Here is a 25,564-nt window from a genome sequence, read left to right on the forward strand (position 1 = left end):
GACAGTATCGCTCCCTCACGTTCATTAACCTCCAGAGATTAAACATCACCTGATACACAGAACTGTGGGCTCCCCATTTGGCTAAGCATCAGGTGCAGCCAGGTTCTTACCTAGGTGCACGTGACAAGGTGCTGCCAGATGCCACCAGCACAGACAGTCAGTGAGCCCACCTCATCAGAGGGCACATGAGATCCCCAAATGCGAAAGAACTCTAAGGAGCCAAAATCTGCCAAGATGGGTACATTAAAGCTTGCAACTTTGCACGTGAGTGCACCCTCAGACTCAGCCAGTTTATTCTCCTTTGCAGTCCATTCTGAAAAGTCCAGCCAGATGATGGCTAAAGAGGAGAGAATGGAAGGTGGAAGGCGGTTGCTGCTTGCAGAAGAGGCACGCTGGCAGCATTGGCAGGGAGGAAGAGACTGGAAACTGAGTAGCAGATCCGAGAAACCAAAATGCTCAGCAAATGAGGGCAGGTGGCATGGAGCTACTTCCCTGGATCCAAGAGCCTAATTACCTTATTGTTCCATAAGTTCATGGCCTGCGGTCATCAGGGAAAATAAAACACTGACTGGGGGTCAGTCTTTTCTGTTTAGAGGAGGCTCCCTGAAACCTCCCCCTCCCGGGTTCAAGCGATTCTCCTGCCTCAGCGTCCCGAGTAGCTGGAACTATAGGCGCCCGCCACCACTCCCGGCTAATTTTTTTTTTTTTTTTTTTTTGTAGAGACGGGGTTTCACCGTGTTAGCCAGGATGGTCTCGATCTCCTGACCTCGCGATCCGCCCGCCTCGGCCTCCCAAAGTGCTGGGATTACAGGCGTGAGCCACCGCGCCCGGCTTCAGCTGGTTTTTCAAAAGTCATGGCGTGTAACTGTCCGAACAGTGAACTTCGGAGATCCACCGGAGGGGCGAGGCCACAGCTCGACCGCGAGCACCTGAGCATCCTGCACCGCCTGCGACGGCCGTCAGGGGGCGCGATGCCGCCTCACAGAACCTCAAGAGGCGCCCGGGTTCCGGCACAGACGGCCTGCGGCTCCAGGGGGCGGAACCGAGCCGTCTCCTCAGGACCTACGCAGGAGGCGCCGTCATCCCTACAGGGACACCTGAGAGGGCCCAGCCTCCTCCTCCTCAGGACCTACTCGGGAGACGCCGCTGGCTCTCTAGGAACACCTGGGGACCGTGGCCAGGGACGACCCAGCCTCCTTCTCCTCAGCTCCTCAGGAACGACTGGGGAAGCTGTGGCTTCATGGTCCCCGAGGCTGCCCGAGGAAAGGTGAGGAAAAAGCTTTCTGTCCCGGCTCAGTGCTGAGGAGGCCGCGCTGCCTCGCGCTCCACTTTCTCAAGTTGTATTTATTTTATTTGACAAAGTGGCCCGTCATTAAGTGGCTTTGCTATTCATTATTGCAGCATACCTGAGTTGTTTCATTTTTTAATTTTTGACCAATTTGGGTTTGTTTGGGGTGGATCCGGGACAGAGAAGGGAGAAACCCTGAGGGCAACATGGAGAGCCCCAGGGAGACGCGCACCCCACGACTTGCTTTTATTTGCGTTCCAGTGGCTCGTTTTTCTTAGAGTGTTAAAGTACTTGAAAAATATTGAAGAGCAGATGTAGATGTGAGTTTTCACAACCGTGTTTTAAGTGTAAATACTGGATTTTGTCTGTTAAAAGGATTTTAGGTAAAATAAATTTAAGCGGACTTTATTTCGGCAAAGGAATGGTTCATGAATCACGCGGGAAGCACCAGAACGGAAATCGGCTTGGGGCTTCGAGCTCTTAGGGTGGCCCCTAAGTGAGGCTCCTCAGTGGCTCCAGCTAGGCCACCGCCTGTTGTGGGGATGGTTCCCTCAGCGTCCCTAGTCATACAGCCAACTGGCTGCTGGGCTTTTTGGCATTGACTGTGGTTGGTTTGTTAATTTTTTTAAGTCAGTTCAAATGCCTCCAAGTTCGGTTTCTGTTTGCTTAGGGAAGGCCTCAGGCTAACCCCCGCCGTATTTGCTTTAACATGTCAAAACCATAATTTATTTTTCATTTTACTTTCCTGGCATTAATAGAAGTAAATTCACATTTGTGTGTTATTCAGAAAGTCGGTTTAATTGGCAACCTATTTGTGATGGTGCATAAAGTAATGTCTTTTAATCATTGGCATCTTAGATTAGATGAAATATGTTAACTCTCTTAAGCTTTGTTATTAACCCATAACAAGAGTTAAGTTTCTTTTTTTCTCCTAGGCTTTGACCATTTAAAATACACTCAGGCATCTCGTAACGATGTTATACTTTCTGAGAAATCTGTCCTTAGGTGATTTCATCTTTGTGTGAACACTGTAGAGTGTCCTTATAAAACTTAGATGGTGTAGCCCACTCCACACCTAAGTTACATAGTATAGCCTATTGCTCCCAGGCTACGAACCTGTACAGCATGTCTCTGTACTGAATGCTGTAGTCAACCATAACACCATGGTGATTGTAGATTGTGATCCCAGAATATCTGAGACAGGTCTCAGTCAATTTAGAAAGCTTATTTTGCCAAGATTAAGGACACGCCCATGACACAGCCTCAGGAGGTCCTGACGACGTGTGTCCAAGGTGGCCAGGGTAGAGCTTGCTTTTGTACATTTTAGGGATACATGAGACGTGTAAGATGTACAGTCATTTGGCCCCGTAAGGCAGGACAACTGTAAGCAGGAAGTGGGGGTGCTTCCAGGTCAGAAGTAGGTTAGAGACAAAAGGTTGCATTCTTTTGAATCCTTCATCAGCCTTCCACTGAATACACAATTTAGTCTGGCTCAATGAATCTGCATTTTTACATAAATAATAGGGCAGAGGAAGCAATCAGATATGCATCTGTCTCAGGTGAGGGATGACTTTGAGTGCTGTCTGTCCTTTGTCCAAAAGGAAATTCTTTGTGGGCAAATTGTGAGTGAGGTATGTAGCTTTTTATCTTTGTAGCTATCTTAGGAATAGAATGAGGGCAGGTTTGCCTGACATAGCTCCCAGCTTGACTTTTCCCTTGGCTTAGTGATTTGGGGGTCCTGAGATTTATTTTCCTTTCATGGTATCAGAACAGAGAAAAGGTAATGCGTTGAGCCATGAGCTTATGACAAGATGGCTAGGAAGGAATTTTTCAGCTCCATTTTTATCTCATGGGACCACCATCGTATGTATGCAATGCACGAGTGTAAAATCACATTTAGTTAAGTCAGCTTACACTAAGCTATGGACCCAGATGGTCCTGGGGCCTTTTTCCACTGGGAGATCTTTAAGGACCTTTCTTAGCTTTTCTATGCTAATTGGTATATTCATAGTTGCCTTATTTCAGTGCCCATTTTGTTAATGTGTATTTTTACTAGGAAATCACCCATTTTTTCTAGGTTTCCAGTTTGATGCAATTATTTGACTTTTAATTTCTCCTCTGTTTTTAGTTTTGTACATAATTTTCCTATCTACTTTTGCACTCTTTTTTCCATCAACAATGTTTTTAAAATATACTTTTTAGCTTTTTTTGAAGAATTGTTATGTTTGACAATTTTTTATGACCTAATCATGACCGTAAATGATTTTTAATTAATTTCAGCTTAATGTCTTTTGTAGGGCACAACTGTTAAAATACAAAATTACAACAAATGTGGGTTTGCAGATCTTAATTGGCTTTTTTTGTGGTTCTAGAATCAGGCAGCAGTCCAGACCAAAAATGGTTCAGAATGATCTGCCACACAACATGTGCGGGTTATATTTATAGCCAGAGAAAAAAAGTGACATACAGAAAACAGAAGTGAGGTATAGAGGTGGCTGGATTGGTTACAGACCTGGTTACAGCCCGGATTTGCCTTCTTGGAACTTGTTTTGAACAGCTGGCTGCCGGCCATTGACTGACACTCGGCTGATGTGATTGGCTGAACCGCCGCTATTTGTTACCATGATACATTCCCAAGTCAGATTTACAGTTTGTTTCTATACTAAATTAGGTTGCGATTCTTCTTGTTCTTCTTCTTTTTTCTTTTTTGAGGCGGAGTCTCGCTCTGTCGCCCAGGCTGGAGTGCAGTGGCGCGATCTCAGCTCACAGCAAGCTCCGCCTCCCGGGTTCATGCCATTCTCCTGTCCCGGCCTCCCGAGTAGCTGGGACTGCAGGCTGCCGCCACCAAGTCCGGCTAATTTTTTTGTATTTTTTTTTAGTAGAGACTGGGTTTCACCTTGTAAGCCATGATGGTCTCGATTTCCTGACCTCATGATCCACCCGTCTCGGCCTCCCAAAGTGCCGGGATTACAGGCGTGAGCCACGGCGCCCGGCCGCGACTCTTTACAAGGACTCCTTGGGAGGCTTCTAGAGCCCAAATGTTGTTTGATGTAAGAATTCCTCCCTTTTGGTCAGCCTCTCAATTTTGAGATATTGATCAAAACTTTGGGCATTGGTATCACTCTTTGTTATCGTTGTAAATTGAGTTATTAGTACTTATTTGCTTTCAGTGTGGCATTTTCAAGTTTTATTTGGTCTCAGTGCCCTCTGGGCAATAGCAGAACACTGTGTTGTGTAAGGCGGAAATAGAGCAATAGAAAATAACAACTGATTTGTTAACATCAGATTACTTCAAGTTACTTGTTTTGGTAAGAATTAAAGCAGAGGGGACTTCTTTATGCTGACTCAGGTAGACTGGAATCTCTTCAGGGAAAAAGGGAGATCTTTTGGGATCTGTCTACTTCCTTAAAGTTTCAGCTTCGTTGTGTGTCATTCAGCGTGAGTGTCTCCATTCTGGTTTTGCCTGCTCAGTGTGGCCTAATGCGGGAGTGGTGACCGAAACAATGACCTCCCGTAGTTTGTTCCACAGTTCTCCCCTTTTGGTTGGGTTCCTGCCTAGGTGAGGGTGTGACTAAAACCTTAGGGCATTAGCAGTATTCTCAGTAACTATCATTTTAGGGTTCCGGTCTTAGGGCATTAGCACTATTCTCAGTAACTATCATTTTAGGTTTCCGGTCTTAGGGCATTAGCACTATTCTCAGTAACTATCATTTTAGGTTTCCGGTCTTAGGGCATTAGCACTATCCTCAGTAACTATCATTTTAGGGTTCCGGTCTCAACACGTCATTTAAGAAGTCAGTAAAGCTTTCTTCTATTGTGACAGCATATTTAATACTGAGAAGGAAAAGAAAATTTTTATCTTGCGAATGTGAGCTTCCTCTAAATTATCAGGTCCAGAGAGGCGTGGGAATGAGGCAGCAGTCACGTCCCATTTCCCGCTTAGCTAAGTAATCATATCTTGAAGCTGCTTGCTATGTAGACTAGACTGACTGTCATCAGCTATAGATTAACCTAAGAGTGTCTTTGAATATTTTTTCCAGTGGCAAATATTTGCTTCTTTTGTATCGTAGCTGAAAGGAATGCTGGGAAACAAAATAAAGGCAAGCATTCATTAGAATAAGTGATCCAGTCACAATGAATCAATTTGAACTTTTTTTTTTTTTTCGCAAAGTCATACTTTGAAAACGTCCAGCCGTAAATTGAAATAGTCTCCAAAATGTGAATTTTTTTCCCTGGTTCTAAGATGACCAGCTTTCTTAGAGAGTGAACTACACCATAAGGAAAATGATATGACCATGTTTACACATATATGTTATCTTAACATAAAACATGTAAAAGGGGCATTTCTTTGAAAGTATATATTAGTCTGTATAATTTACTTTGCAGTATCATGAATGCTCTTATTTTTAAAAGTAGGAGTAGTTACTGTCAATTACTAATTTTTAGTACAAATAATTTAGCAGATATCTGAAAAAATTACAATTTTTAAATAGAGGTTTTATTTTAAATTAGTTTTAGATTCATACAGAAATTGGGAAGAAAATGCAGATTTCCCATGTAGACGCAACCTAGTTTCCCCGCTTTTTAACATACCAACATGTATCAGATAGGTTTAACATCTTTTTTTTTTTTTTTTTTTTTTCAGACAGAGTCTCAACCAGGCTGGAGTGCAGTGGCGTGATCTCGGCTCACTGCAACCTCCGCCTCCCAGGTTCAAGCGATTCTCCTGCCTCAGCCTCCTGAGTAGCTGGTATTACAGGTGCCTGCCATCATGCCCGGCTAATTTTTGTATTTTTAGTAGAGATGAGGTTTCACCACGTTGGCCAGGCTGGTCTTGAACTCCTGATCTCAGGTGATCCGCCTGCCTCAGCCTCCCAAAGTGCTGGGATTACAGGCATGAGCCACCACTCCTGACCAACATCTTACATCATTTCTTGTCATACTTAATGACTGGATATTACTATATTATTAAATAAGCTCACATCTTATTTGGTTTCCCTTAGTTCTGCCTTTTTCTCTCCCAGGATCCTATCTAGGATCCCATAGGACATTTAGTCATCATGTCAGGCTCTTCTTGGCTGTGACAATCTCTCAGACTTTACTTCTGAGGACCTGGAACAGTGTTAGGAGGATTGGTCAGGTATTGTGTAGAATGTCCTCCATTGTGGTTTACTTGGGGTTTTTCTCATAATCAGCCTGGGTTTAGGGGTTTGGGGGAAGCAGAGCAGATGTGTAGTGTGTCCACAAAAAGAGTCAAAGACTGTAAAATATTTTAAGAGATGTATTCTGAGCCAAATATGAGTGACCATGGCCCTTGACACAGCCCTCAGGAGACCCTGAGAACATGTGCCCAAGGTCGTTGGGGTGCAGGTTGGTTCTATACATTTTAGGGAGATAGGAGACATCAATCAAGTGTATTTAAGATATATATTGGTTCGGTCCAGGAAGGTGGGACAACCCAATGGATTAGGGTGGGGGGGGGGCTTCCAGGTTATAGGTACATTTAAAATTTTTCTGATTGGCAGTTTGTTGAAAGACTTACTATCAATAGAAAGGAGTGTCTGGGTTATGATAAGGGGTTATGGAGACCAAGGTTTTATCATGGAAATGAAGCTTCCAGGTAGCAGGCTTCAGAGAGAATAGATTGTAAATGTTTCTTATCAGATTTAAGGTTGTGTTGATGTTAAATGCTGATTGGCTTTTCCTGAATTCCAAAAGGGAGGAGGGCATAATGAGGCATGTCTGACCACCTCTTTCCCATCATAGCCTGAACCAGTCTTCCAGGTTAACTTTGGTGTCCCCTGGTGGAGAGGTGGTTGGGGGAAAGATCTTTGAATTTTATTTTTGGTTTGCAAGTGCTAGTCTAGTCACTTCATGCTCTCAAGATGTGTTATCACCATTAATGTTAACTTTTATCACTTGGTTGAGGCAGTGTTTTCAGGTTTTTCACTGTAAAGTTACTTTTTTCCCATGTCTATATTGTATGTATGCTTTTGGAGGAAGTCATCAGGCAGAGCTCATACTTAAAGGAGTGGGGAGTTAGCCCCACCTCCTTGATGGCTGTCTGTATCAGGTATTTGGAATTCTTCTGTATAAGAGATTTCTATTCAGCCCATTTGCATATCTGTTTAATCATTTATTTATACCAGTATGGGTCCACAGATAGTTACTTTAATCTTTTGGTTGTTATCTAATTGTACAGTATTTTGTTGCTCTTTGTTCATACCTGTGGCCATTGGTAGCTCTTTCCACTGGCTCCTTTTACATAATTTCATGTTTTTTTTATAATTTATTTCTGTTACTTCAAAAGTACCCTGGCTCATATATTTTCTGTCCCAGTCCTAGTTTCAGCTATTTCTTCTAATAGCCCTGATTTCTTTTGTTAGAGAATGGTATGAAAAACTTACATCTGGCCACTAAATGTGGTCATTGCATCATGACACTTACAGCTGACAGTGCAAAGAAATATATGTGTGTCTTCTAACTTATATGTACCCACTTAATTATAAAGGTTTCTATGTGGAACCATCTATGTATATGTTAAGCTAAATGTGAGTTTATACTTACGTTGTATATATATATTCTGACTCATTATGACAGAGATCATTCTAGGCTTCCCTATTTTTTATCTGTAACTTCTCGCTGTAATAATGAGGAACCTGGCTCCTACTATCTGCCATTTATTTCATCCCTTGTACCATTGGGAACAAGGAATTCATTCTTGATCAAGATTCCAGGTTGGGACTTAATAAGAAATATATGTTTGGTCTGTGTCTGCAGTTCCTGGTACAGAGCTTCTAAAACTATTATAATTTCCTGAACAGTAGGGGTGCTAGGAGCATCTTGTGTTCTAATATTTGGTCTTTGGCCCTGGTTCCTGACGCAGAGTTCCTAAATCTCTTGGAATCTCCTGGATAATAGGAATGGCTTCTGTTCTAATAAGGACACTCTGTGGGTTCCTGGATGGTTTCAGGATGGGGATGGTCACCAGAAAGACCAAGCCATGATAAGAAGGTTGTAACTTTTAGCTTAACATGCAATCCTTTGAGGGTGTGAAGGGACTGGAAATTGAGTTAATAATCCGTCATGTCTACATGATGAAGCTTCCATAAAAATTCCTAAAATATGGAATTTGGAAAGTTCCAGATCAAGGCTGACAGATTTGATGTCTAGTGAGGGCTCATCTATCATAGATAGTGCCTTCTAGCATGTCGTGACATGGCAGAATGGGGAAACGGGCTCCTAGATGCTTTTATAAGGGCACTGGTTTCATTCATGAGGACAGCACTCTCATGATCCGATCACCTCTCGGTTACCTCTGAATACCATCCCTTTGGGGATTACATTTCAAAATAGGAATTTGGGGTGGGGGTGTACACACATTGAGACCATAATAACTAGTAAACATAAGTAAGTATTTCCTAGTTCCATAAGCCATCATAGCAAATTGTCAAACCTGAAGAGGGGGTGTAGGAATGCCTAGTTTCTAGCCAAGTCATATAGAAGTTTGGGTAAACTGGGGATTCACAACTTGTGATTGGCATCTGAGGTTGTGGACAGTCTGGTGTTACTAAGCCGTTAACCTGTAGGGTGTATACTAACTCCAGGTAATCAGTGTCACAGTTGAATTACAGGATACCCAATTGTTTTCCAGAGAGTTGGAATATTGGTTGGTATGGGAAACACCCCCCACCCCCCACAATTTGCTGTTAAAAGTGGAGTGTTGATAGTATAGAGGAAAATCATGGTTATTTTTCTTTTTACAGATATAGTAGTTTCAAAATTAACTATTATCCCTATGGGAAATAACTTTATAAAATAGAGTCCACTGTTCGTGTATATAGTACGTTTTGTTTTTAGTCTATGGATTCTACTCATTTCCAGCTCAGCACCTTTGGCCCACCACTTGCAACATACATTGGTAATACAGTTAGATTCTTGGTTGCACTCTGTATTTTGTCCTTAGATACTTCCACATCCTAAATAATTTAATTTGTGTAGCTTGTGATTTGTTCTTTGTGCATTAAAATTCTGTGGGTTTTATCAAATGCATAGTGTCAGATATCCACTACTGAAGTAGCATACAGAATACTTCAAATCCCCACCCCAGACAGTCACTGATCTGACTATCATCTCTTTGGTTGTGCTTTTTCCAGAATGTTATATGAATGGAGTCATATAATGTATAGCATCTTCATACTGCCACCCTTTACTTAGCAACATAGATGCAAGATTCATTCATTTGTTTTCATGGATTGACAGTTCATTCCTTTCTGTTGGTGAATGGTATTCCATTGCATGGTTGTACTTCAAATTGATTATGCATTCAGCTATTGAAGAACGTTCTGACTACTTCAAGTTTTGGCCATGATGAGTAGAGTGGCTCGTATATAATTACATGCTAGTTTTTGTTTGAACATAATTTTTCAAAGCAGCTGTCTAAACATACACAATTTAGGGGTGCATTTGTTGGATTGTAAGGTAAGACTTGTTTATCTTTGGGAAAAACTGTCAAACTATTTCCCAAAGTGGCTGTACCCATTCATGCATTCTGCCAGTAATGAATGGCCGTACCTATTGTTCTTCAACCTCCAATTGTTACTGTTGAGCTTTTTTAAGAGTCCCACAGTTGTACTAGGTGTGCAGTGATATCTCAGCATTATTTTAATTTGCAGTCTCCTAATGAGATATATTGAGCATCCTTTTGTGTGATTATGTGCTATCAGTATATTTTCTTTTTTTTTTTATTTTATTGAGATAGAGTCTCGTTCTGTCACTCAGGCTGGAGTGCAGTGGCGTGATCTTGGGTCACTGCAACCTCCACCTCCGATGTTCAAGCAATTCTCTTGCATCAGCCTCCCAAGTAGCTGGGATTACAGGCACCCACCACCATGCCTGGCTAATTTTTTTGTATTTTTAGTAGAGAGGGGGTATCACTATGTTGGCCAGGCTGATCTCAAATTCCTGACCTCAGGTGACTCACCCGCTTCAGCCTCCCAAAGTGCTGGGGTTATAGGCATGAGCCACCACACCTGGCCTGCTATCTATATATTTTCTTTGGCTGGATGTCTGTTCAGATATTTACCCAGTTTTATTTGGGTTTTTAGTTTTCTTAGTGTTCCTTTGAAGAGTTCTTTGTGTATTTTCAATACAGTTTTTAAAATCACGTTTGTATTTTGTAAATATCTTCTGACAGTGTGTCTTGTCTTTTTGTTCTCTGAATAGGGTTTTTCATAGTAGAAAATTTAGTTTTATAAAGTCTGTTCTCAGTATTTTCACGAATTGGCACTTGATGCTGTGTGTTAAAACTCAACACCAGATCCAATGTCTCTTAGGTTTTCTTTTAGATTATTTATAGTTTTGCATTTGAAGTTGTAGTCTCTGGACTATTTTGAGTAGGTTTTTGTGTTTTACTTTGTGTATAGAGTCATTTCATTCTATATGGCTTCCAAATAATTCTTCCATCACCATTTATGGGAAGGGTATGGATATACTGGCCTTTATTTCGGTTTGAATTTCCAAAATTATGACACTGAATAAACTGAATATTGAATTTTATAGGTATTTCAGGACAGCCAGGAGGGGGCGCACATCCGCCGCGAAACTGTGAGCAAGAGCGTCTGTGCTGAACCATGGCGCCACCAGAGGGCGCGCGATCCCGCCCCAACCAACTTCCCGCTGAAGTGCCAGAAGCAGCGAGGAGCTTCAACTTCCTCAGGGCAGCACGGGGGTCGTGTTAATTTGGTGTTCTTCATTGGTGAGTAAAAAGCTCCTGTCCACGGCCCTGAGTGCCAAGGAGTGAGTCTTTAGAGCACTCAGCAGAGGAAGAAATTCATCTAGAAAAATAAAGCCCCCAAATCTCACTATTTGGAGTACACCCTAATATCATTGTCAACGTCCAAGACACAGTGGCTGCTAATATATATTCTTACAGTGGCCTCTAATATAATAATCACACTGTGCTCTACATTACTATGATATCTACACCGTGCCCTAACACCTATATAATATTCACACCATGCGCTAACACTGATGTAATCCACAACATCGCTTCCAATACTAATGTAATAATATCCACACCATGCCCTATCACTGATCTAGTCCACACCATCGCTTCCAATACTAATGTAATAATATCCACACCATGCCCTATCACTGATCTAGTCCACACCATCGCTTCCAATACTAATGTAATAATATCCACACCATGCCCTATCACTGATCTAATCCACACCATCGCTTCCAATACTAATGTAATAATATCCACACCATGCCCTATCACTGATCTAGTTGACAACATCGCTTCCAATACTAATGTAATAATATCCACACCATGCCCTATCACTGATCTAGTCCACACCATCGCTTCCAATACTAATGTAATAATATCCACACCATGCCCTATCACTGATCTAATCCACACCATCGCTTCCAATACTAATGTAATAATATCCACACCATGCCCTATCACTGATCTAATACACACCATCACTTCCAATACTAATGTAATAATATCCACACCATGCCCTATCACTGATCTAGTCCACACCATCGCTTCCAATACTAATGTAATAATATCCACACCATGCCCTATCACTGATCTAGTCCACACCATCGCTTCCAATACTAATGTAATAATATCCACACCATGCCGTATCACTGATCTAATACACAACATCACTTCCAATACTAATGTAGTAATATCCACACCATGCCCTATCACTGATCTAGTCCACACCATCGCTTCCAATGCTAATGTAATAATATCCACACCATGCCCTATCACTGATGTAATCCACACCATCGCTTCCAATACTAATGTAATAATATGCACACCATGCCCTATCACTGATCTAGTCCACACCATCGCTTCCAATACTAATGTGATAATATCCACAGCATGCCGTATCACTGATCTAGTCCACACCATCGCTTCCAGTACTAATGTAATAATATCCACACCATGCCCTATCACTGATCTAATCCACACCATCGCTTCCAATACTAATGTAATAATATCCACACCATGCCCTATCACTGATCTAGTCCACACCATCGCTTCCAATGCTAATGTAATAATATCCACACCATGCCCTATCACTGATGTAATCCACACCATCGCTTCCAATACTAATGTAATAATATGCACACCATGCCCTATCACTGATCTAGTCCACACCATCGCTTCCAATACTAATGTGATAATATCCACACCATGCCCTATCACTGATCTAGTCCACACCATCGCTTCCAGTACTAATGTAATAATATCCACACCATGCCCTATCACTGATCTAATCCACACCATCGCTTCCAATACTAATGTAATAATATCCACACCATGCCCTATCACTGATCTAATCCACACCATCGCTTCCAGTGCTAATGTAATAATATCCACACCATGCCCTATCACTGATCTAGTCCACACCATAGCTTCCAATACCAATGTAATAATATCCACACCATGCCCTATCACTGATCTAATCCACACCATCGCTTCCAATACTAATGTAATAATATCCACACCATGCCCTATCACTGATCTAGTCCACACCATCGCTTCCAATACTAATGTAATAATATCCACACCATGCCCTATCACTGATCTAATCCACACCATCTCTTCTAATACTAATGCAATAATATCCACACCATGCCCTAACACTGATGTAATATCTGCACCATTCCCCAACACCAATACAATATCCACACCGTTCCCTAACACTAATCTAAATATCCATACCATGCCCTAACACTAATATATTGACACAGTGGCCTCTAATACTAATAAATATAATAATATCTACTAAGTGGACTCTGTTGACATTGAGACTTTGTTAAGGGTTTTACAGCTTTGGCTGAACTATAGCCTCTGTAATGGATTTTGATGATGTGTCTGCTTTCCTGGCATGGTATTGACATGGTTGTTTTAAAAAGTAACTTATTTTCCAATAATGTCATATGTCTAGGCAACTTCCAGTAGTAGTACAAAGTACAGCTTGTTTCTTCCCTTAGATTCCCCAACAGTTATTGCTGTACCAGATTTGCAGTGTCCCACAAAATACTCCGGTATATTGTACTGAAAGCATGGACACTCTCCCAGGTAACTACCACATAACCCCTAGATCAGGAAATCAGCGTTGTTCCTACATGATAATTCGGTCCACAAACTCACTTCAGTTTTACCTCATGCCACACTTGGGAGTATAATGTTTTTTTTTTTTTTTTTATTAGGATCCAGTTTTCTTTTCCTGGAACTGTTCCCCAGACTTTCCTGCATATTTATGACCTTGACACATTTAAAGAGCATACAGGTTTTTGTTTGAACAGTTGTTTTCAGGTCTTTGGGGTATATACCTAGGAATGGAATCATTAACTCATATGGTAAATCTATTTGTAACTTTATGAGGAAACATCAAATTATTTTACACGTAGGCTGCACCATTTCATATTGTCACAAGCAGTGTTTAAGAGTTCAAGTTTCTGCACATCTTTGTCAACACTTGTTATTTTTTAGTATAACTATTCTTGTGTGAGTTAAGGGTTATCTCTTTATGGTTTTAATTATGGTAATGATGTTAAGCATCTTTTCATGTGCTTGTTGGTGAAGTGTGTCTTTTGTCAATTTTTAGATTGGGTTGTCTTTGCTATGGAGTTGTAAAAGTTCTTTATACATTCTGGATAACAGACACTGATGAAGTATCTAATGTGCAGACATTTTCTTCCATTTTATAGGTTGTTGGAACGTAATAAGAGTTAATGTGTGGTCTCTGCTGCAGTGTCCTGAAACAGAGCGCTAAGCCTTGGGAATGTACGAAGTAATGTGTCTTTCGTACGCTAATGAAATGATTGATGGCTGGGGGCACCTGGACAGCCTCAGTGGGGCTGGCTGCCAAGGGAAGCAACCTTGTCATGAGAGAATTTGAAATTTCTTCCCCCGTCCCGTCTCTGTGAAGGGGAGAGGTGCTGATGGTTGAGTTGATCACCTATGGCCACAGACGTAACCAATCTGCCTGTGTAATAAAGGACAGGGTTGGGAGAGCATCTGTGTTGCTCTCCCAACACAAGAGATACTGGGAGGATCATATCTGGCGAGGGCATGGGAGGCCTGCATTCCTTCCATATACCTCACCTTGTGCATCTCTTCATCTGGCTTTTCATTTGTAGTGTTTAAAAGATCCTTGGTAATGAGTCAGGAATAGTAAGTACACTGCTTTCATGGGTTGTGTAATGTGATGTAGCAAATTGCTGAACCCAATAAGGGTGTTGTGGGAGTCTCCAATCTGTAGGAAAGTCAGACAGAAGGTAACCTGGGAACCTACTGTTTGTGGTTGGCATCTTAAGTGGTTACAGTCTTGTAACTTAGTACCCATATTTTCTTAAAGAAGAAATGAATTAGTTTTACCATTTTGCTGTTCCTGCACTTAGCTCTTTAGGAATGCAATTATAAGCTTTACTGTCTCTCCACCAGACACTTCCTATACTGCAAACTTTTCCAACTGTGTGATTACTTATAAGTTCCAGGGACCAAACCTTGAAACAAACTGGCACTTCCATATCTCTCCCCCACCAGTAGATTGGCAGCAGACAACAGTCAGTTTACAACCTGGCTCTGCCCGTGGTGGTGCTAGCAAGACCACCTAATGGAGAAAACATCAGAGCATGTCCCATAGACCCCGCACCTCCTCACCTCATCCCCTGCATGCCATTCTGGCAAGTCCGAAAGCCCAGCTTTCTGCCCAGAAAGTGGAAGCGCTTCCCTTAAGGCAAGAGCCTGTATGTTCCCTTCAGCTAAGCTCTGGCATAAAGTCACTTTCTTTTTACCATCCTTGTGTTTGTCATTTAAATTTGCAAGCGACAAGGGGCATGACGTGTATTCCTAGGACTGAGCCCTTAGCCTGTGGGGTCTGATGCTTTCTCCATTTACTGTCACAATTGGATTGCACTGTAGGACACGCAGCTGGTACCCAAGATTTGGTCTGTGTGGGGAAAAAACCCATGTATCTGGTAACAGAAGTGTTCTGTGTTGAGTGTTGAGAGTATACTATAAGACAGTTGTTTTTCCTATTATAACATTTTGTCTTTCAACTTTTTTCTTCATGTCTTCTGAGACGTAAAAGTTGTGAATTTTGAGGAAATAAATTGATTTATTTTTCCTTTTGTGGTCTGTGCTTTTGGTGTCAGATGTAGGAAACTATTGCTACGTGTAAGGTCATGAATGCTTAACTGTACGTTTTCTTCCAGAGTTTTTAGTTTTCACCTGTTTTGGTCTTTGATCCATTGTAAGTTAATTTTTTATGTGGTATGAGGTAAGGATACAATTTCATTTCCCTTTATGTGGATAGCAAGTTGCCTTACATCACTTGTTGAGGACAGGATTCTTTCCCCAATTTACTGGTAATGGACCTTGTCTAAAATCAGTTGAGCATAGAGGTATTGTTTTCTGTCTGGACTCCCAATTCAATTCAGTTGATCTTTCTGTTTATTCCTGTGCAAGGATCCCACTGTTTTTATTACTCTTCCTTTGTAATAAAATTTGAAATTGGGATGTGATCAGGATCAGCTTATCCACTTCTGTCCCAAGGCCTTTGGGATTTTTGTAGGAATAACATCGAATCCACGGATTGCTTTGTGTACTTTGGGAAACTTAACAATGTGGTCTACAAATCCACAAATAAGATACATTTTTACATTTACTGGAAGTTTAATTTCCTTAAGTAATGTCTTATAATTTCCCTCATCTAAGTCTTGTCGTTTCATTCCATTTATTCCTAAGTATAATATTGCTATTGGTATTGTTTAAGGTAGAATTTTCATAATTTGGTGTAGAGATTATCCATTCCTAGCATATACATATAAAATGGAATGTTTGGCCAGGCACCCGGGCTCATACCTATAACCCAAGCAGGTTGAGAGGCTGAGGAAGGGTTAGGGTTAGGGTTAGGGTTGGGGTTGGGGTTGGGGTTAGGCTTAGGGCTTAGGGCTTAGGGCTAGGGCTAGGGCTAGGGCTAGAGTTAGGGTTGGGTTAGGGTTGGGTTAGGGTAGGGTTAGGGTTAGGGGTTAGGGGTTAGGGTTTGGGTTCGGGTTTGGGTTATGGTTAGGGTTCGGGTTCAGGTTCGGATTTAGGGTTCAGGTTTATGGTTCGGGTTAGGGTTCAGGTTAGGGTTTGGGTTGGGTTTAGGGTTAGGGTTTAGGGTTAGGGTTTGGGTTAGGGGTTAGGGGTTAGGGTTAGGGGTGAGGGTGAGGGTGAGGATGAGGGTTAAGGTTTAAGGGTTAAGGGTTAGGGGTTAGGGTTAGGGTTAAGGGTCAGGGTCAGGGGTTAGGGTCAAGGGTTAGGGTCAAGGGTTAGGGTTAGGGGTTAAGAGTTAGGGGTTAGGGATTATGGTTTGGGTGAGGGTGAGGTGTGAGGGTGAGGATGAGGGTTAGCGTTTTAGGGTTATGGTTAGGGTTAAGGGTTAGGGCTAGCGGTTAGGGGTTAAGGGTTAGGGGTAGGATAAGGGTAAGGATTAGGGTTAGGGTCAGGGTAAGGGTAAGGGTTATGGTTAGGGTTTTAGGGTTAGGGTTTTAGGGTTAGGGTTAGGGGTTAGGGGTTAGGGTTAGGGTTAGGGTTAGGGTTAGGATTAGGGTTAGGGGTTAGGGTTAGGGTTAGGATTAGGGGTTAGGGTTAGGGTTAGGGTACTGTAAATAATTTCACATTATTACTAATAATAAATTATTATTTGTATTACACTATTACATAATGTAAAGGCTATTAAGACATGTTTGTCTTCAAAGAATGGCCTTGGTTTCTGTGGGCAGTGCCTCCTCATGGAAGGGTAATGCATTCCTGCTAAATCATGGACAAAACGGGCTTCCAGGAGCTACAGGCTGCAGCAGCAGCTCCTCCTCTAAGTCCTTCACTGCCTCAAACTCTTGTTGACTTTGTAAGCTTCTTTCAGTCTAGTTTTTTCAACAGAGCTAGTATTTCATGAGGTTCTACTACATACCAGGTTCCAGAAATCTAAATGCCTTTTGTTTGTTATTTTTCACTAAATACAAATCACAACTCTCTCCTCATTACTCACACAACAAAATTTAGCTGAGGGAGATTGAGTGACTTTCCTAGGGTCACATAGCTACTAAGAGCAGAGCCGTGTTTAGATTCATGTGGGAATATTGAACACAGAAATGAACCAGTGGAAACATCCTGTGTTCCAAAAGCCTACTCAAGCCATTTGTTCTTATTTTAAGGAAAATCTTTATGCTAATTTTAAACTCCAAATACTTATGAATGGCAGAGATCTACAGATTTGATTCTGATGTAAGAAATGATGGTCACCAGCCGGTTACTGCTACCACCCCACAACCCCGAGCATACTGGACGAATGTCTAAGCCTTGTGGTTAGTGGGGACAATGCTGGTGGAGTCTGAAGTTGTCATGCAGTGACTCATGCAAGCTTAGGCAGATTTGGTGATATATGACACAGAGATGCAAAGAAATGTTGTAGCTGACACACACAGGCTGGCTCTGGGAGATGCAGAAGGAGCACGTCACCCAAAATAGAGCCAGACAGACATCCTTAAGGAAGGAGCAAAGGGGCTGCATCTTAAAGAATGTAGAAAGGATTTGTCATGAGAGATGGGGCAGGAAGTTCTTCAGAGGCAGAGGGAGAGCATGAGAATGTTGGGAAGGGAGGAGAGATTCTTGCACATCTGGGAAGCTGACAATCCATCAGCATGGCCAGAAGGAAAATAAGGAGGAGGAGCAGAAATAGATGAGGCTGGATATAGAAGCAGGGCTGAAGCTGTGTCGATTGTGGTAAAGAGTTGTGATTCTATCCAGAACGCAATAGGTAGCATTCTAAACAGAGATCTTTTAAAACAAGAGTCAGCAAGTATTTTCTGCAGGGGGCTAAATGTTAAATATTTTAAGTTTTCCAAGCCATATGGTCTCTCTCTCAATGACTCAGCTCTTCCATTATACCATGAAAGTAGCCAGAGACATTATGTAACACATGTATTGGCTGTGTCCCATTACAACTTTACTTACAAATGCAGACTGTGTCAGACATGGTCCATGCATGGTAGTTTGCCACACCCTGTTTTAGAAAGCTCAGGTTTATGATGTGATGGAGAATGCCTACAAGAGCTCTTGTTTTAAATGGTAGAGTGAACATACACTGGAATTCTATCCTGCTTGACCCAAGCTCTTGATAGCGAAAGGTAGAAAAGATAGATGGTAAATAGATAGATAGATGATAGATAAAGAAAATACATAGCTGTTCCAGAAAACAGAAATGGATAACTTCATGAACCAAAAGCAGAGTAATATGCTTTAGAAAGGAAGCAGGCCGGAAAACCCACAGTTGCAAAACAAATAGAATTTCCAACTGCCTCTTGTAGCCCCTTCCTGGAAGTAGTCACAGCCCAGGGTGTTCGACTACTTCCTCTGTTTTTTGTTTGTTTGTTGTTTGCTTTTCTGTGGGGTTTCTGTTGTTGTTGTTTGCTTTTAAAAAAAAATTCCCTTTCCCTGCTTTTTTGTCACAGCAGCCTTTGTCACTTCAAACACCGCAAGTGTTCTTTAAAAAAAATTATATCAACCTTTCAATTAAAATGCAACATGTCTGAAAGTTGGTATCTGGAGAGGTGAGTTGGACAAAGGAGCCCTTGTTACTGCACGTTTTCATTCTTCAAATTTCACCTTGCACGCAGTAACAGACAGTGCACAAAGCCACTTCCTTATGGACGGAAATTCTGAAATCCTTTTATGCCTGGCCTTTCCATCCTTCAACTTCCCCTCTCCCACGCTGTGAATGATTGTATTGGACATTTTTGTTTTAATGTCAGTGACAGGGGAACACAGGTAGCTCTAATATAGCTGTGACCCAGATGCTTCTGTTTCTAGCATGTATTTATTTTGTAGCAAACATTTACATCCATGATGTTTCACTGTCTTTTGAAAATAATTAGGCAATATCTCATCTGAGGTAGGATGTTTCTAGGGGTTGTGTTCTGAGGGAGGAAAACTAATCTGTTCTCTTTCCACTGCATTCTAGGAACAGTAAGAGGACCTTGTGCATGAATAATTTGTTTCCACACTACAGAGTGGGTAATAAGCAGACTAGTAAAAACAATTCTGCTTCACTTCAATAACAGCCTCCTCCAACTCATTTTTTCTCAACAAACTTATTTTTCCAGCAGAAGAATCCCAGACTTCTTAGAGAACCCAGTGACTTTTTGCACCTTAAATCTGTGAAATCCTCATGTTTTCTTCTGCCGTATCCATAGTTCAAACAAAGATGAGGCAAAGCTAGACGCATTCCTGAAGGAACCCAAGAAATTCCTCTCTTTCTTTCTCTGGAATGAAATGAATTCTCTAGACCACCAGTTCTAACCTTCAAAAACCAAACCTGTTTGTGAGATCTTCAAATACTACTGTAGACCCCAGTGTTTATTCATTAAATTTTTTAAATATTTGTTTTATTTGGAATCAAAGTATTTGTAATTTTAGTGTTTGTATTAATATCAGGGAGAAATGTTTAAATCTGTCTTATGCCATATGTGCCTCTGGCTTATTGCCCAATTAATTGTAGTCTCAGGCTAAACTTTGGTTTCTGTCTTTAATTTTTGTCAGAAGAAATATAACTGATCTCAAAACATCTGCTTTTATTGTAGGGGCTCGTGCTGCCGTCTCCATTCTTCTCTCTTTTCTTGCAATCTGGGTGGAAGTTCTTTAATATGAACATTTCAACCACCTTCATTCTACCATGTCCACTATCAGCACATTCAAACTGATCCAGCCAAGGCTGTCATCTTAGGCCAGGGATTTTTTAGGAATCTATTTTGCTGTGATGCGGCTGGCACCCCTTTGACTCACTGTATCACCCCAGGGTTCTTTTCATTTCAGAAGCCCAAGAGGGCAGAAAAAGAAGTAGGTGAGCAATTAAACACTCTGAGTCAGGAGCGTCTCCCCTTGCGTTAAGCAATGTTGTAGAACATCGATGTTCTACATCGATGTTGGTGACCTTGGTACCATTTTGTCCACTTGATTGGAAAAGCCAGTCAATAATTTCAGGTCACTGTTGGCCTTAGAAGAAGAGCCCAAAGGCAACAAGCAAAGGCGCTGGTGTCCAGTCGCCTTCTAGAAGCATTTTCACTTTCCCTTAAGGTTTCCCTTGATGAACATAGAAGTACTGTATGTAGAATTGACCCAGTGCTGCCCTGGCAACTTTGTATATTAGGCCAAATTTACATTTCTTACCTTTATGAGAGGCACCCTGGTAGGCTAGTGGAGTTACACACAAAGTCTGATCTCAGCTGCACTGTCCAGAAATGCAACACGGTCCAATCAAATAACATTCTCTGAGCCTGTTTCTTTAGCTGTGAAAGAAGAATAACATACCCATCTAAAAAGGCAGCTTATTGTATTTGATTGGTCTTTTATTTTCTATGAAACTGTGTTTAACACAGTAATTATTTTCATTTGTGTACTACATTTGTGTTGTGTTTTTGGTTTTAGTTTTGTTTTTGAAATGGAGTCTTTTTTTTAGTGGTTTTTTGTTTTGTTTTGTTTTGTTTTGTTTTTGAGATGGAGTCTTTCTATTGTCACCCAGGCTAGAGTGCAGTGGCGTGATCTCCGCTCACTGCAACCACCACCTCCCAGGTTCAAGTGGTTCTCCTGCCTCAGCCTCCTGAGAAGCTGGGATTACAGGTGCCCACCACCATGCCCAGCTAATTTTTAAAATATATTTTTAGTAGAGATGGGGTTACAACATGTTGCCCGGGCTGGTCTCAAACTACTGACGTCAAGTGATCCACCTGCCTTGGCTTCCCAAAGTGCTGGGATTATAGGCATGAGCCACCGCGCCTGGCTTGTTTTAAAATAAGGGTTTCTTGGCTAGGCATGGTGGCTCACACCTGTAATCCCAGCACTTTGGGAGGCCAAGGTCAGTGGATCACCTGAGGTCAGGAGTTCGAGACCAGCCTGACCAATATGGAGAAACCCTGTCTCAACTGAAAATACAAAATTAGCCAGGCGTGGTGGTGCATGCCTGTAATCCCAGCTACTCAGGAGGCTGAGGAAGGAGAATTGCTTGAACCCAGGGGGCAGAGATTGCAGTGAGCTGAGATCGCACCATTGCACTCCAGCCTGGGCAACGAGCAAAACTCTGTCTCAAAATAAAAAAAAGATTTCTTAAAATGATATTTTCAGTATTTTATAGATGATGTGTAAGCAGCAAGCTTAATAGGATGTTACCCGACACTTTGCGAGACTGGCAGCTGATTTGATCCAGATGTCTCTAATTCTTTTTTCTTTTTCTTTTTCTGTTTTTTTTTTTTGACAGAGCCTTGCTCCGTCCCCCATGCTGGAGTGCAGTGGCACGATCTCGGCTCACTGCAACCTCCACCTCCCGGGTTCAAGCGATTCTCCTGCCTCAGGCTCCCGAGTAGCTGGGATTACAGGCGCGCGCCACCATGCCCAGCTAATTTTTTGTATTTTTGGTAGAGACAGCATTTCACCATGTTGGCCAGGCTGGTCTCGAACTCCTGACCTTAGGTGATGTGCCTGCCTCGGCTTCCCAAAGTGTTAGGATTACAGGCGTCAGCCACTGTGCCTGGCCCAGATGTCTCTAATTCTAACATGAGATGTATTGCAGGATCATAGCAGAGTGAGTTGCTGATGTATCCAGAAGGAAACGAGCATGGAACACTCACGACAGCTGTCCTGAGAAGTGTGTGTGTGCTGTGCTTGAATATCTCACTGCTCATTTATACACAGGCTTTCCGGTGACTGAGTTAACAGTATCTGTTTCATAAATAATGTAGCCCTCTTTCTTTCTTTCTCTCTCTCTCTTTTTTTTTTTTTTTTTTTTGAGACAGGGTCTTGCTCTGCTACCCAGGCTGGAGTGCAATGGTGCAGTCTCAGCTCACTGCAACTTCACCATGCCTGGCTAATTTTTTCTTTTTTTTTTTTTTTGAGACGGAGTTTCGCTGTTTTTGCCCAGGCTGGAGTGCAATGGCACAATCTCGGCTCACCACAATCTTTGCCTTTTGGGTTCAAGGGATTCTCCTGCCTCAGCCTCCCGAGTAGCTGGGATTACAGGCATGTGCCACCACACCCGGCTAATGTTGTAGTTTTAGTAGAGACGGGGTTTCCCTATGTTGGTTAGGCTGGTCTCAAACTCCTGACCTCAGGTGATCTACCCGCCTCGGCCTCTCAAAGTGCTGGGATCACAGGCGTGAGCCATCACTCCTGGCCTAATTTTTGTATTTTTAGTAGAGAGAGGGTTTCACTCTGTTGGCCAGGCTGGTCTCGAATTCCTGACCTCAAGTTATCTGCCTGCCTTGGCCTCCCAAACTGTTGGAATTACAGGCGTGAACCACCATGCCTGGCCAGCTCTATTTCTTTAAGCCTACATGTTTTGCACTTGTTAAAAGTATTTGAACATACAATTACTCAGCTTCCCTTGTTTACGCGTGAATTTTGTAGAATCTTAAATATTTTTTCCAATCTAAGCTTTATTTTATCCCGTTTCTTCTATATTTGTATAACTTTAGGCGGCTATCTTCATTGAAAGTTTTTTCTCAAAAGCCTTAAGATAGAACGTAGTTCTTGGCAGCAATTTGAAAGTTATTTGAGGAGAAGGGGAGACTTACAATGATGATTCAAATGAAGGAAACTAAAAAGTAATGAAGCAAGGCAGAGGAAAAAGCAGTACTCACTTGAGCACATCCCAAAAGAATAACATTTCAAATGTAACTAGAAAAAAGTATGCTGAAGTTCGCAATACAGAAATAATTATTAATAAGATAGCTTTAAAGCCCTGCTCAGCTTTTGAATGTTGGGAATTGACCCAGAGGTGGCTGTAACCTAAGATGGTTCCTTCAGTAATGACCATTTTTTCTTTTTCAAGATGATGATTATTCCCCACCTTCTAAGAGACAAAGACCAACGAGCCACCACAGCCACCAGTCCCAGAACCTGCCAATGCTGGGGAACGGAAAATGAGGGAGTTCAACTCTGGTAAGTTCTCAGCGAAATCCATGACCTTTTCCTTTATCTTCTGGACTCTCAGTGTGACTGATGAAAGTTACCACATGCTCTGCAGGGGGAAATGGTTTAGCATGTGTTACTACATCTTAATCACATCTTTGTAAAGCCAGGAGCATTTTACAAGTCACGTTACAGACATTGTTTAAACATAGTCTGTATTTACCAAAGTATAGGACATTGTATCATCTCATATTAATTAGTTAGTTGGCTCAAAATTAGTGCTAATGACTTAGTAATTCAGTGATTTCTGTTAGCTTTAAAACCTTTATTTCAGAACTATTTCACCTCTTGGTTTTCATTTTTGCGGTGTGTCACTGCCTGCTGGCTGCTAATTTATTAACTCCCAGTGAATCATGTCCTGTGAAGGGACTGAATATTAGTGGCAATGTATGTTGATGATTTGTATTTTGAATAAATAGTTTGAATACATAGAACATTAAGCTTGTATACATTTTGAAAATAGTATTTTAATATTCTACTGTGTCATAGTTACAATGATTGGATATATATTGAATTTATATGTACTTTAAGTTGTTATATGTTTATGGTCTTTAGCATTCTAACGTGCAATTGTATATCTGTTAAGTCTTTTTTTTTTTCGAGATTAGACTGATTTATTGAGGCGTCTGTTTGATGCCACATTAAGTGGCCCAGGCTTTGTGTAGGGGTTGAGGTTAAAGCAGGAAGAAGGGTGGTGAGAGGCGGGGCACCAGGGTTAGGTTGGAATACCTGGGGGTGCTCTGAGGCTCCCCAAGTTTCCCTGGTCTTGGCCGGCTGTGCTGCTGGCCTGGGCATCTGATGGGCCTGCAAGGGTGGTCCAGGGACTAGGGCAGGGACTTTGGAGTCACGCCGTTGGCTTTGAATCCAGACTCCTACACTTGGTAGCTGTGAACTCTCCATGCCTCAGGGACCTGCAGAACTGAGCTCTGTCTGAGCCAGGTTCCATCCAGGCACTGCGCATCCATCCAGAGGGGCACTGCCTCAGGCTGCTCGCTATTCACTGCCTTCCCAAGCAGACCCTTGTCTCCTTCTAGGCCCTCACAATCCAGTGGAGGAGACGAAACTCATCTGCCTCTGTCCCTCTGGGCACGCCTCATGCCAGGTGCATCTGTGGACAGGGGCCATGCTCCTGGGCTTCCAAAGTTGGAGAAAGCTGCCAGGCTCAGGTGGGTACATCACAGCAGCTGCTGCCCTCTGAACACAGTGACAAAAGAACACTCTGGGCCTGGAGCCCTGGTCTGGGGCATTGGGCAAGGCTGTTGCACTTCTCTGATCCCATTTCCCCATCTGGAAAGTGCGCTGATTGTATCTCCCTGTGGGCACTGAGGGCTCAGTGTTAGTTTGAGAGCCAGCATCTGGGGTTTGGGCTGTAATTCCCCGTCAGCCCCATAGCTGCGGGGAACCAGGGACTTTGTTGGGATTACCCTAGGCATCAGTTTAGCTTCCTGCCCCTGGCTTGGGCTCAGCACCTGAAGTAGTCTAGGGGGTAGGTGGTGCTGGTGGGGGCTGGGGCTTTTACCCAGACTGAGGTCACACCCAGAGCCAGAAGTCTTGGTGCCTGCTCTGGGCAAAGGTGCCAGCCTGTGTGACAAGAGCGAAACTCCGTCTCCAAAACAAAAACAAAAAACCTTGCATCATTTCAAGGGGCTCACACCTCCCTAAGGGCCTGGTAATTGGCTGGCTCTGGCCTGCATCTGGCCCCGAGGGTGTAGGTAACACCCCACCTTACCTGGTTTCTTCCTGCCAGGGCCAATCTTCAGACCTCAGGACTTTACAGCCTATCCCACCTCCCCTCTGGCCAGCCTTGAGCCCTTGTGGGTCCAGCACTTTTTCCAGGCTGTCTCCTGGTTGTCCTTCTGCCTCGAGGCCTGGCTCATGCTGCTCCCCCTCCCACTCTCCAAGACCCACAAGGACCACTCCACACCCAGCTCAGCCCCGTCCCCTCAGATAGTCCTTTCTCTTTCCTCAGGTGGCCAGGTGCATATCTTGGTGTGAGGACCTTCGCTGTATCTGGGAATGCCTACTGGTTACCTTGGTAACAGAGAACAAGGCATTTACCTGATATGAGTGTCTTGGTTCACTGTCTACATGGCTAGGGAGGGAATCAATAATAGGCTTTTCACTTGCTGCAAGGGCCGGTTCTCCTGGCCCCATGGCTCTAGGGATGGAGGACGCTGCAGGAGATGCAGCGCTCACTTCCTAGCTGAGGACTGTGGGTCATCTCAGGGCGATTTCACAGT

At 42.6% G+C, this 25,564-nt stretch overlaps 2 long non-coding RNA genes across 2 annotated transcripts in view; both read left to right on the forward strand.

Moving 5' to 3' along the window:
- FAM157C (family with sequence similarity 157 member C) overlaps nucleotides 1-25,564 on the forward strand; it is a 75,343-nt gene that overhangs the window by 3,175 nt on the left and 46,604 nt on the right. Inside the window, exons 2-3 of the long non-coding RNA NR_126161.1 lie at nucleotides 721-1,267; nucleotides 5,934-5,999. This is a non-coding gene — a long non-coding RNA (family with sequence similarity 157 member C). The remainder of the gene's footprint in view (nucleotides 1-720; nucleotides 1,268-5,933; nucleotides 6,000-25,564) is intronic.
- The window catches only part of LOC105376781 (uncharacterized), a 34,672-nt gene continuing 30,720 nt past the window's right edge, over nucleotides 21,613-25,564 (forward strand). Inside the window, exons 1-3 of the long non-coding RNA NR_170196.1 lie at nucleotides 21,613-21,733; nucleotides 23,185-23,294; nucleotides 24,359-24,490. This is a non-coding gene — a long non-coding RNA (uncharacterized LOC105376781). The remainder of the gene's footprint in view (nucleotides 21,734-23,184; nucleotides 23,295-24,358; nucleotides 24,491-25,564) is intronic.

The sequence above is a fragment of the Homo sapiens genome, chromosome 16 (assembly GCF_000001405.40).
Source record: "Homo sapiens chromosome 16, GRCh38.p14 Primary Assembly".
In the NCBI taxonomy this organism is placed as follows: Eukaryota; Metazoa; Chordata; class Mammalia; order Primates; family Hominidae; genus Homo; species Homo sapiens.